The following is a 13,239-nucleotide window of genomic DNA, read 5'->3' on the forward strand; positions in this document are numbered from 1 at the left end:
TCTCTCCTCTTTTTTTTGATGACAAATGCATAAAATAATAATGATAAGTCTATGTTAGTAGGCACACAATAGATAAATATGTAATCTGTGACAATAACAATGTAACGGGAGGGATGGAGATGTATAGGAGCAGAGTGTATAGTACTGAAATTAAGTTTGTATTCAAACTAAGCTGTTACAGGTTTAAGGTGCTAATTGTTGTCTCCAAGTTAATTACTAAGACAACAACTAAAAAAATACACAGAAAAGGAAAGAAGAGGGAAATCCAAATGGCATACTGCAAAAAATCAGCTAAATATAAAAAGGCAGCAATAAAGGAACTGAAGAACAAAAAAAAATAAGACATGAAGACAACAAACAGATAAATGGCAGAAGTAAATCCTTCTCTATCAGTAATCACATTAAATGTAAATGGATTAAACTTTCCTATTAAAAAGCAGACACTGGCAGATTAGATTAGAAAAACTCACACAGAATCCATCTATCTGCTGTCTACAAGATACTCCCTTTAGATGTAAGGACAGGAGGAAGTCAAAGGTAGGATAAAATCAGATATTCCATACAAATAGTAAAAAAGAGCTGAGATGGCTATATTACTGTCAGACAAAATAAACTTCAAATAAAAAGAGGGTACAAGAGACAAATAAGGACATTAAATATTGATAAAAGGTTAAATACAGCAATAAAATACAACATTTATAAACATATACAACAGAACCCCATACAACATTTATAAACATATACAACAGAACCCCAAAATTTATAAAGCAAAAACTGATAGAATTGAAGGGAGAAACTGATAGTCCTACAATAATAGAGACTTCAATACTCTACTTTCAATAATGGATAAAACAACCAGACAGGAAATTAGTAAAAAAATAAAGGATTTGGGCCGGGCATGGTGGTTCATGCCTGTAATCCTAGCACTTTGGGAGGCTGAGGCGGGCAGATTGCCTGAGCTCAGGAGTTCAAGACCAGCCTGGGCAACACAGTGAAACTCCATCTCTACTAAAATACAAAAAAAAAAAAAAAAAATGCTGGGTGCAGCGATGTGCTCCTATAGTCCCAGCTACTTGGGAGGCTGAGGCAGGAGAATTGCTTGAACCCGGGAGGCAGAGGTTGCGGTGAGCCAAGATCATGCCACTGCACTCCAGCCTGGGTGACAGAGCGAGACTCTATCTAAAAAAGAAAGAAAGAAAGAAAGGATTTGAACAACCCTATAAACCAATTAGACCTAACAGACATATATAGAACATTCCACCCAATAACAACAGATAACACATTCTTCTCAAGTGCACATAGAACATTCTGCAGGGTATACCGTATGTCAGGCCACAAAACAAGGATCAATAAACTTTAAAAGATTGAAATCATGGCTGAGCATGATGGCTCATGCCTGTAATCCCAGCAATTTGGGAGGCCGAAGCGGGCAGATCACCTGAGGTCAGGAGTTCGAGACCAGCCTGAGCAACATGGAGAAACCCCGTCTCTATTAAAAATACAAAATTAGCCAGGTGTGATGGCACATGCCTGTAATCCTAGCTACTCAGGAGGCTGAGGCAGGAGAATCACTTGAACCCAGGAGGCAGAGGTTGCCATGAGCTGAGATCACACCATTGCACTCCAGCTTGGGCAACAAGAGTGAAACTCCGTCTCAAAAAAAAAAAAAAAAAGATTGAAATCATATGAAGCATATTTTCTGATCACAAGGAAATAGAACTAAAACCCAGTAACAGAAGACTTAAAATTAAGAAAATAAGAATATTAAATAACTGAAATAAGAAAATTTAAGCAACACATTCAACCAATGGTTCAAAGAAGAAATCACAAGAGAAATGAAAAAAAAAAAAAAACCTTTAGACAAATGAAAACAAAAACCAAATAAAAAATTATGAAATGCAGTGAAAGCAGTGCTCAGAGGGAAATATATAGTTCTCTACACATACACTAAAGAAGAAGAAAACTCAAAATCAATAACATAACTGTATTCTTTAAGGAACTAGCAAAAGGGGGGCACACTATGCCCAAAGCTAGCAGAAGACATAATAAAAGAAAGAATGAAGATTAGAGTAAAAACAAATTAGAGAATAGAAAAATAATGGAGAAAATCAATAAGCTTTAAAAGTTGGTTTTTCAAAAAGATCAACAAGATTGACAAACTTTTAGCAAGACTGACTGAAAAAAGAGAGAAGACATGAAAGTGGAAACATTACTACCAATTTTAGAGGGATAAAAAGGAGTATTAGAATACTATGAACAATTGTATGCGAACAAGTTGAATAACCCAGATGAATGCACAGTTTCCTAGTAGCACACAAGCAAAGCACTATGGTACAATATAAACAGTTTTTTTAAATTACATATATGTATATGTAACATGCGTGTGTGTGTTTATGTGTGTATGTGTAATATAGGGGGCTTTAAAATAACTCCAGAAGGATAACAACACCAAGGTGTTAAAAGCAGTTATCACTAGGTGAGTAGAGATCTGGATGTTTTTATTTTTTAATTTTTTATAGAGATGGGGTCTCACTATGTTGCCCAAGCTGGTCTCAAACCTCTGGGCTCAAGTGATCCTCTCGCCTTGGCCTTTCAAAGTGCTGGGATTCAAAGTGCTGGAATGAGCTACCACACCTGACCTTGGGTATTTTTATATACTTTCTTGTTCATCCGTATTTCCTAAGAATTTTTTTTTTTTTTTAGAGATAGAGTCTTTCTCTGTCTCTCAGGCCGGAGTGCAGTGGTGCGATCTCGGCTCACTGCAACCTCCGCCTCCCAGGTTCAAGCAATTCTCCTGCCTCAGCCTCCCGAGTAGCTGAGGTTACAGGTGCATGCCGCCATGCCCGGCTAATTTTTTGTATTTTAGTAGAGACGGGGTTTCACCGTGTTGCCCAGGCTGGTCTCAAACTCCTGAGCTCAGGCAATCCCCCCCACCTTGGCCTCCCAAACTGCTAGGATTACAGGCATGAGCCACCGCACCCAGCTTCCTAAAAATTTTTATAGTGAGCATGCAATGCTTTTGTGATAAGGTAACAAAAATAACAACAACAACAAAAACTTCATCTAGAAAAAAACCAGATAACTCCTGCTTAGCCCAAGGGAAATTACAATCGTGGGGACAATCTGACTTCCTCTTATTTATACCCAAATTGTACAAAACTAGTATAAGCACCATAGCTACAAACCTTCTGGCTAGCTCCTCTGGCATTCGCTTTGGAACCAAGGCTTTGTCCAGCTGAATTTCCAACACAATGTATGTCCCTGCTTCTACATATTGCTGTAAAGACATTGTTTTCTTATTATTTCCAGAAAAAAATATATTTATGAAAAATTTAGTAACATAAGATGATGCTCACAATATAATAAGTGAGAAAACTGCATATATAACTACATATACAGTGTGATCTCAACTGTTAAAATACTTTTCACATAGAAAAATAACTGGAAAGAAATATAGCAACAGTGGTTATCTCTTAGAGGAAAGGATTTTCAGTTTTATTCTTGGAAGCTTCTACAGTGTAACAAGGCTGAAGCCCTGTTTAACTTGTTCTCAATACTTTCCCAGGAACTGTTTTAAGTGAATGCCTTTCTTTCTTCCAGCAACCTTCTTTCAGGTGGTCCTGCAGAAAAATTCTCTTCATAACCTTCTTACATTCCCACTCACAGTCTCCTCACTACCATCTACCAACTCCAAGTGCTGGACAGCTCTACCCAGATTTTTGCCAGCATCCTAAATACATGTCCAAAATTGAATTTATTATTTCCCCAATGTCAATCTCTCTTGATTTTTCTCTTAATGGTGTTGTCATCCTTCCAGAAAGTGAGGCTTGCAACCTGAGTTATCCTTAACTTTTCTCATCAATACCCCCAAAGCTTCCCAATTGCAAACTCCTTGCCTCTCCAGGTTTCTGACTTTCTTTACTACAACCCCTGTCCTAAATAAAACTGTCATCAACACTCATCTATACTACAAGAAAAGCCTGCAGCCCTACCCCACCTTCAATCTCTTTTTTTCATACCCTTGCAAGAATTCCGACCTGAAACACACATGAGGTCTTATTTCTATGACTTTGAAACCTTTGATGTGAATCTCCAAGAAGAGGTTCAAGAATCTGTCATCAGCTATACAATGAAGTCCAAACTTTTAAATAAGCCTTTCAAGTCTTTCCATTACCTGATTCAGCCTCTTTCTTCTTTCCTAACTCTTTATAGAATCTCTCCTTTAATTTCTCTATATACCATACACTGCAATTAACTGAGACAGCCTAAATTCTGCTCTTGCAAATTCTCTGTTATTCTCTCTCAAGCTGTTCCCTGGCTCTGAAATGCCTCTCCCTCCATCTTCTTATGGCAAACAGGTCTCTTCATCTTTCACTACTTAGTATGGATATCACCTCCTCCATGAAGCCTTCCCTTAGACTTCCCCATCCTAATATTTGTCTCCTCAGAGCCCACACAGAACTTTTATTTGTACCTCTATTACAGCACTCATCAAAATTATATACTATGATTAGTTATATACCAGTCTGTTTCTCCTACCAGATGCTGAGTTTCCTGAAAGCAGATGAATAAATGCTGCAGATGATGCATCTTTACATCCCTTATAATGTTTAACATAGTAGAATTAACAAAAGATATAATATTTTAATGCTGGAAAGGACCTTAAAATTAACCTGGCACCAGTTCACTTTACAGAGTTTCAACAAGACAAAGAAATTTGCCCAAAGTCATAGACAACTAGTCATGGGCAAATATGGAATGATAACTAACATCCTGCCTGAGCATTTTCCATTGAAAATGCCTTGCTTAATAAAGGTCTGGTTAACTTAAACTTAATTTTCCAAACTTCATGCACAATTACCTGTCCTTCAGGATTGTGACTTAGAGGGGGTTCACCTTCCAAAGGAGTATCTGAGCTCTGAGATTTTATACTAGGTGCCTGCTGAAAGAAAATGAACACACCTCAAAAATTGAATTCCTACACAGTCTTCATAGTGACAAGAACAATGTTCTCTACACTGCATCAAAATGCAAACTAACTGCAGCCATAAAAAAGAATGAGTTTGTGTCCTTTGCAGGGATGGATGAAGCTGGAAACCATCATTCTCAGCAACTAACACAGGAACAGAAAACCAAATACCGCATGTTCTCACTCATAAGTGGGAGTTGAACCATGAAAACACATGGACACAGGGAGGGGAACATCACAAACTGGGGCCTGTCGGGGGTAAGGGCCAAGGGGAAGGAAGAGCATTAAGGACAAATACCTAATGCATGTGGGGCTTAAAACCTAGATGGCGGGTTGACAGGTGCAGCAAACCACCATGGCACATGTGTACCTATGTAACAAACCTGCACATTCTGCACATGTATCCCAGAACTTAAAGTAAAATTAAAAAAAAATGCAAACTAACATTGATACCAGTCACCAAGTGAGAAATCAGTGAAGCCTCTGGAATGTAATCTAAGAGGCAAAATCATCACCTTCTCAACAACCTACCACATCCCCAGGCCTAGGCCTTCCATCTATATCCTTTTCTTTCACTGGTTTATCTTCTTTCAGATTCTTAGAAACAGCTTGTTTGGACAGCAGAGAATTAATTCCTCCTATTTTATTATTATGAATCAAGTGATGGCCAATATCCCGGAACAAGCTCAATAAACATTTGGTCTGAAAAACAAAAAAACAAACAAAAAAAAGCAATACATGAGACAAACTTGAAAGAAATACACATTATTTTTTTTTACCATTTAGTCTTCCAAACAATTTCGACATTTAATATCAGAGAGAGAGAAGGGACTTGAAAGACTTCATTGTATTTCCCTCCTTCTAGAACAGGTAAAACCACCACAGAAAGTTAGTTGCCTACTCTACCATTTAAAGGATTTAAAGGAGACCTTACAACCTGGCTTGATTCTGGGATCTCATAACTCTTGTAATCAGAATGCTTTTAATCTTTGACACAGAATTTCGAATTAGGCTAGACATGGTGGCTCACACCTGTAATCCCAGAACTTTGGCAGGAGGATTGTGTGAGCTCAGCAGTTCAAGACCAGCCTGGGTAAAATAGTGAGACTTCATCTCTACTAAAAACAAAACAAAAAGATCAGCGAGGTGGGCCGGGCGTGGTGGCTCATGCCTGTAATCCCAGCACTTTGGGAGGCCGAGGCATGTGGATCACGAGGTCAGGAGATTGAGATTATCCTGGCTAACACGGTGAAACCACGTCTCTACTAAAAATACAAAAAATTAGCCAGGCGTGGTGGCGGGTGCCTGTAGTGCCAGCTACTCGGGAGGCTGAGGCAGGAGAATGGTGTGAACCTGGGAGGCGGAGCTTGCAGTGAGCCAAGATCATGCCACTGCTCTCCAGCTTGGGCGATAGAGCGAGACTCTGTCTCAAAAAAAAAAAAAAAAAAAAAATCAGCGAGGTATGGTGGCACATGACTGTGGTCCTAGTTACTGGGGAGGCTGAGGTGGGAGAATCACTTGAACCCAAGCAGTCAAGGCTACAGTGAGCCATGACTACACCACTGCATTCCAGCCTGGGCTACACAGCAAGACTCTGTCTCAAAAAAAAAAAAAAAAAAGGCCAGGTGCGGTGGCTCACACCTGTAATCCCAGCACTTTAGGGGGCCGAGGCAGGCGGATCATTTGAGACCAGAAGTTTAAGGCCAGCCTACCCAACATGGTGAAACCCTGTCTCTACTAAAAATACAAAAATTAGCCGGGTGTGGTTGCATGCAGCTGTAATCCTAGCTATTGGGAAGGCTGAGGCAGGAGAATCACTTGAACCTGGGAGGCGGAGGTTGCAGTGACCTGAGATGGTGCACTGCACAGCAGCCTGGGCAATAGAGTGAGACTCCGTCTCAAAAAAGGAAAAAAAATTAAAATTAAATTAACAGGCTGAATTCACTTCTATACAAGAAATAGTATCTATTTAGTTACCACTGACCTATCAGTTATAATTGGAAGGATAAAGCAAGTTTAAAGTTCAAAGAAAAACCTTTGTATGGAAAAATTCAAACTATAGATAAACCACCAGAAAAGGATTTTACAACAATTTTTCCCTAAAAATTCTTTTTTGAAATAAACAATTTTTTAATTAAAGAACATGGATGATTCTCAAAATAATTTATGTTGAATGAAAAGAACCAGACCAAAGGAGGCCAGGCGAGAGGGGAGGGGTGGACAGAGGTGGGCAAAGGAATAATAGAAGACACAAAAAACTTTGGGGGGTAATGTGTGTATGTTCATTATCTTGATTGTGGTGACAGTTTCACAGATGTACAGATATGTCAAAACTTTAATATTGTACAATTTAAATAAATGCAGTTTATCAATTATACCTCAATAAAGCTGTTTGAAAACAATCCAACAATATTAATTGTAAATACTAAAAATCACTCACAATCCTACCACCTCTGTGATAAATACTGTATTTCATAGATTCAAAGACACAAGCTTTCTCAAATTTTAACATCTCTGGGGTATGTTCTATAATAAGAGTATTTCATATAAGTGGTATCATACAATACATAGTCTTTTGCATCTGCCTTCTTTCACTTAGCATGTTTTTGAGGTTCGTCCATGCTATAGCATGTGTCAGTTGGTTCATTACTTTTTTATTTTTTATTTTAGTTATTTATTTATTTGAGACAGAGTCTCACTCTGTCACCTAGACTGGAATGCAGTGGCACAATCACAGCTCACTGCAACCTCTACCTTCTGGGCTCAAGCCATCAGCTCACCTCAGCCTCCTGAGTAGCTGGGACACAGGCACATGCCACCACCCCAGCTAATTTTTGTATTTTTTGTAAAGATAGGGTCTCACCATGTTGCCCAGGCTTGTCTCAAACTCCTGGCCTCAATGATCTGCCCACCTCGGCCTCCCAAAGTGCTGGGATTACAGGTGTGAGCCACCACACCTGGCCCAAGTTCACTACTTTTTTTAAAAAACAGGCTGGGCACGGTTACTCACACCTGTAATCCCAGCACTTTGGGAGGCCAAGGCAGGAGGATCGTTTGAGCCCAGGAGTTTGATACCAGCCTGGGCAACACAGTGAGACTGTCTCTACAAAAAAAATTTTTTGTTTTAATTAGCTGGATGTGGTGGCATATGCCTATAGTCCAGTTACTCAGGAGGCTAAGGCAAAGGATCACTTGAGCCCAGTAGTTCAAGGCTGCAGTGAGCTATGATAGTACCACTGCACTCTAGCCTGGGTGACAGAGTGAGACCCCATCTCAAAAAAAAAAAAAAAAAAAACAGCTTTATTGAGATATTCACATATATACAATGTACACATTTAAAGAGCATGATTCAGTGATTTGGAGATTTTACATCATTAGTAGTTAATTTCTTTTCACTGCAAAATAGTATTCCCTTGTATACATATACCACATTTTGTTTATCTATTCACTATCTGCAGACATTTGTATTATTGTGAGCTTTTAGCTATTACAAATAATGCTGCAATAAACATTCACATATATGTCTTCGTGTAAATACAGGTTTTCTTTTCTCTTAGAAATTCCTAGAAATGATTTGTTGGGTTGTATGGTAAGTTTATACTTACCATAGATATTCTTTTTTGTTGTTGTTGTTTTGAGACAGGGTCTCACTCTTGTCACCCAAGCTGGAGTGCAGTGGCATGATCACAGCTCATTGCAGCCTTGATTGCCTGCTGGGCTCAAGTGATCCACCTACCTCAGCCTCCCAAGTGGTGGGACCACAGGCATGCACAAACAACACACCCAGACAACTTTTTTATTTTTTGTAGAGACAGAGTTTTGCCATTTTGCCAGGCTGGTCTCCAACTTCTGAGCTCAAGCAATCCTCTCATTTCAGCCTTCTAAAGTCCTGGGATTACAGGCTTGAGCCACTGTACCTGGCCAGATTTTCCATACAGTTGTCTTTTCAAGTATTGAGAGTAGGATACTGAAATTTCTAAATATTATTGCCAAATTGCCTATTTCTCCTTTCAATTCTGTTGGGTTTTGCTTCAAGTATTATGAGGTGATTGTGTTGTACTGTTAAGTGTGTATACACTTATAATTGTCCTGTCTTCCTGATGAATTGATGCTTTAATCATTGTGACAGGCCATTCTGTCTTCAGTAATATGTATTTCTAGTCTTAAAAACTATTTTGTCTGGTATTATTGTAGTTACTCAGCTATTACATTTTCTGTTTCCATAGTATATCTTTTGTACCTTTTTACTTCAAACTTCTGTGTATTTGAACCTAAGGTGTGTCTACTATAAACAGTATATAGTTGAATCTTGATTTTTTTGTAAATCCAATTTAATAATTTCTATCCTTTTATCAGTGTTTTTAGATCACTTACATATAATATTATTGTTGAAATACTTAGATTTTTATTTTCCATGCTATTTGTTTTCTATATATCATCTGTTTTTTGTTGTTCTGTTCTTCCTTTAACTACCTTATGTTAAATAAATATTTGTGATATCCCATTTAATTCCTTTGTTGAGATATATATATATATATAGATATAGATATATATATATATATATATATATATGACGTACACATAAATATATATGTATATATAATATGTATGGACATACACACATATATGTGCATATGTGTATGTATACACGCACAATTTTCTTAGTGGTTACTTAGGATTACAATATACATCCTAACTAATAACAATCTATTTCACATCAATACTAACTTAATTCTGGTAAAATACAGAAATTTTGCTCTGCTATAGCTCCATTCTATCCTCCTTCCTTTATGCTATTATCATATAAATTAAATCTATATGTTAACCCAACAGTATAACTAATACTTTATCCAATCATGTCTTCTAAAGAAGAGTAAAAATGAAAAAGATCTATTTCTAAACTCCTTTGTATTAACTTATAACCATTTCAAGTATTCCTCATTTCTTCTTATGGATTCAAGTTAGCAACTGATGCCATTTCCTTTCAAGCTGAAAGACCTCCTTTAGTATTTCTTGCAAGGCATGTTTCCTAGCAACAAATTCTTTCAGCATTTATCTGGGGATGTCTTTATTTTACCTTTGTTGTTTTTGTTTCTTTTATTGAGAGAGAGTCTCACTCTGTCATCTAGGCTGGAGTGCAGTGGCACGATCTTGGCTCACTATAACCTCCTGCCTCAGGAATTCTCCTGCCTCAGCCTCTTGAGCAGCTGGGATTACAGGTGCACGCCACCATGCCCAGGTAACTTTTGTATTTTTAGTAGATACAGGGTTGCATCATGTTGGCCAGGCTGGTCTCAAACTCCTGACCTTAGGTGATCCACCCACCTCTACCTCCCAAAGTGCTGGGATTACAGGCATGAGCCACCGCACCCAGCCCTGCCTTTGTTTTTGGTTGGTAGTTTTTGTGTATGTGTGTTTTTCTTTCAGAATTTTGCATATGTTATTCCACTGCCTTCTGGCTTCCATTGTTTCAGATGAAAAATCAGTGGTTAACCATATTGATTCTCCCCTGTAAGTGATGAGTTGTTTTTCTCCTGTTGCATTCGTGATGTTCTCTTTGTCTCTCTCTTTCATTTGACTATATATAATGTGTATATTTTGGGTCTCTGTGTGCTGATCCTAACTGGGATTTTCTGAACTCCTTGGATCTGTAAATTCATGTCTTCATCAAATGTGGGATATTTTCAGACATTATATCTTTATACTCTTCCCTCTTGGGACTCTTACTACATATTGTTGGTTGCCTTCCACCAAGATTGCCATTTTGATGTAGTTTGGCTCTTTATCCTCTAGAAATCTCATGTTAAAATGTGAGCCCCCTCCAGTGGGTGACAGAGTGAGAAGACCACGTCTCAAAAAAAAGGAAGAAAGAAAAAAGAAATGTGATCCCGTGTTGTAGGTAGGGCCTGGTGGGAGGTGTTAGGGTCACGGGGTAGATCTCTCATAAATGGCTTGGTGCTATCCTTGAAGTAATGAGTTCTCACTGTTAGTTACAAAGAGATCTGCTTGTTAAAAAGTAATCTGGCACCGCTCTCCTCTCTTTTATGCTCTTTCTCTCACCATGTGACATGCCTGCTTCCCCTTTGCCTTCCATCATGATTGTAATGAGACAGAGTAGCGATGGGGCTTGGCATTCAGCTCACCCCCACTGGATCATCTTTCATGCATTCTTGAGCTAAAGGTGAGGGTGGGGAAGGCAGAGCAGCCCCAGACACGAAGGCCTCAAACTCCTTAGCTTTTCATGCATTAGTAGTTCTCAGCTTGTTGATGCTTTTGGGCAATTTTGAGGATGGTGAAATGACTTTTTGTCCATTTGTCCAGCTTTATGGTTGCTTTTGTGGGGAGATGATTTGTCAACCTCCTCACTTGGCCATAGCCAGAGATATTTCCTTTCCAATGTTTTCTATATATTTTTTAAATTATTGTGAAAAAATGTTATCATATTTATATTTTGACTTTCATTTAACAGACTATCATTTGCATTCTTTCATGTTTTAAAATTTTTCATGAGGATAATTTTTAATATATGAACAATATTCCCCTATCATATGTGTATAATAAAAGGGACAGTTAAAATTTTCTGTGTGCCAACTACATTCCTAGTGCTTTATATATTTCATCTCATTTAATAGGTAAAACAATTCTAGGAAACAAGCATTGCCTCCATTTTACTGATGAATACAGTAAAGGTGAGACAAATTTAGTCACTTGCCTGAAGTCATCCAGCTAGTAAATGGCAGTTTCAGAATTCAAACTCCAGGCTGCCTGAATGGGTTATCAAACCTCATAACTTTTCTATTATGATACACTGTTTCCCTCAGATTCAACAAGAGTATCTTCATATAGAAAGGTTTGGATACATTTCCAATTATTCCCTTGAAATAGTTTCCTAGAAGTAGAAGTCCTATTGGAAAGGATATAAGTATTTCAAGCTTTTGAATACATATGGACAATACATTTTTTGCAAAAAGTTTTTACCAATTACGCTTCTACGAGCAGTGAATGAAAGTTGTTTTACTGAGATGGAGCAAGGATCCTCTTTTTAGAGGCCTGTGCTCCCCAGACATGGAAATAATAGAAAATTCTGAAGTTCCTTCAAGAGAAATTCTAGGCACCTAGCTAGCCCCAGAAATAAATAAGTAACTTAAACAAGAAGGTAATAGTAGCCTAAAACAATAACCAAGGAAGTTAAAGTTCAAGAGATGTTTGCTTTATAGAAACTAAACATAACGTCTTAATATATGTCCTTGAGTTTCTTTCTGAGCTTCAGACCCCACTGAGAAACCACTGAAAGGATCAGCCGGCACTCAGATCAGCTGAATGGATCAGCCTCCAGCTAAGGAGGAAGTGAAGACTCAACTATATGGTCCTTTGTTCTAAACTTCTTCCTGGGGTGCTTGGAGAAAGTCACTCCCCCTAGCCAGTTAACATTTTTCTACGACCCCAAATTTTTAAACAAAGCCTCTCTTCCTTAACAATTGCAAATCAGAAAATCTTTGAATCTACCTACCACTTGCAAGCCCCCCTACCCCCACCTCAACATATCCTGCCCTTTTAAGCTTAAACCAATGTGTAACTTGCATATATTGATTTATGATTTTGCCTGTAGCTTCTGCTTTCCTGAAATTTACCTCTGCCTTTAAAAATCATTGCCTGCAAGCCATCAGGGAGGTCAGGATTTGATAATTTAGCGCCTGGTCTTCCTTGCTTGACACCCTGCAATGAAAGCCTTTCTTTCTATCACTGCAAACCTTGGTGCATATATGTGGTTTTACTGTACCAGGTGAGCAAACATCAGTTTGGTTCTATAACATTATCACACCTTTACCACCAATGGGCATTATCATATTTTAAAGAATTGTTGAACTTCTCAAGTAAAATGATAACTACCGTTATTTAAATTTATAATTCCTTGATTAATAAATAAGGCCAGATGTCTCTTCTTATATCTGTTGGCCATTGACACTTCTTTTGTGAACTGCTATTTCACATACCTTGCCCATTAAGAAAAAGTTTGTTATTCTTCTAGATTGAAAAAACTACTATATTTCAGGAATAGTAGCTATCTCTCAGGAAACTACTGTATTTCAGAAATAGTAGCTATCTTTCTGATATGTATTCAAATATTTTCCCTAGTTCTTCAGTTACATTTTAATTTTGTTTATGAAGGTTTATTTTATATATAGAAACTTGATGTTTTTGGTAAACGAAATACTTTCTTTCATACTTTTCACTGCTTTCAAGCCTAGGAAGTTTTCTCTTAATTCATA

At 37.9% G+C, this 13,239-nt stretch overlaps 1 protein-coding gene across 22 annotated transcripts in view; it reads right to left on the bottom strand.

Moving 5' to 3' along the window:
* The window catches only part of CFAP70 (cilia and flagella associated protein 70), a 109,218-nt gene that overhangs the window by 53,211 nt on the left and 42,768 nt on the right, over nt 1-13,239 (bottom strand). For 20 of the 22 annotated variants that reach the window (XM_047424551.1, XM_017015627.2, XM_017015621.2 and 17 more), the window contains 3 exons: nt 5,501-5,671; nt 4,862-4,942; nt 3,186-3,277 (listed from right to left, as the gene is read on the bottom strand). In XM_047424551.1, the coding sequence (XP_047280507.1) occupies nt 3,186-3,277; nt 4,862-4,942; nt 5,501-5,671 (344 nt within the window). The remainder of the gene's footprint in view (nt 1-3,185; nt 3,278-4,861; nt 4,943-5,500; nt 5,672-13,239) is intronic. The other 2 variants (XM_017015622.2, XM_017015624.2) reach the window with 2 other exon arrangements.

The sequence above is a fragment of the Homo sapiens genome, chromosome 10 (assembly GCF_000001405.40).
Source record: "Homo sapiens chromosome 10, GRCh38.p14 Primary Assembly".
Taxonomy (NCBI): Eukaryota; Metazoa; Chordata; class Mammalia; order Primates; family Hominidae; genus Homo; species Homo sapiens.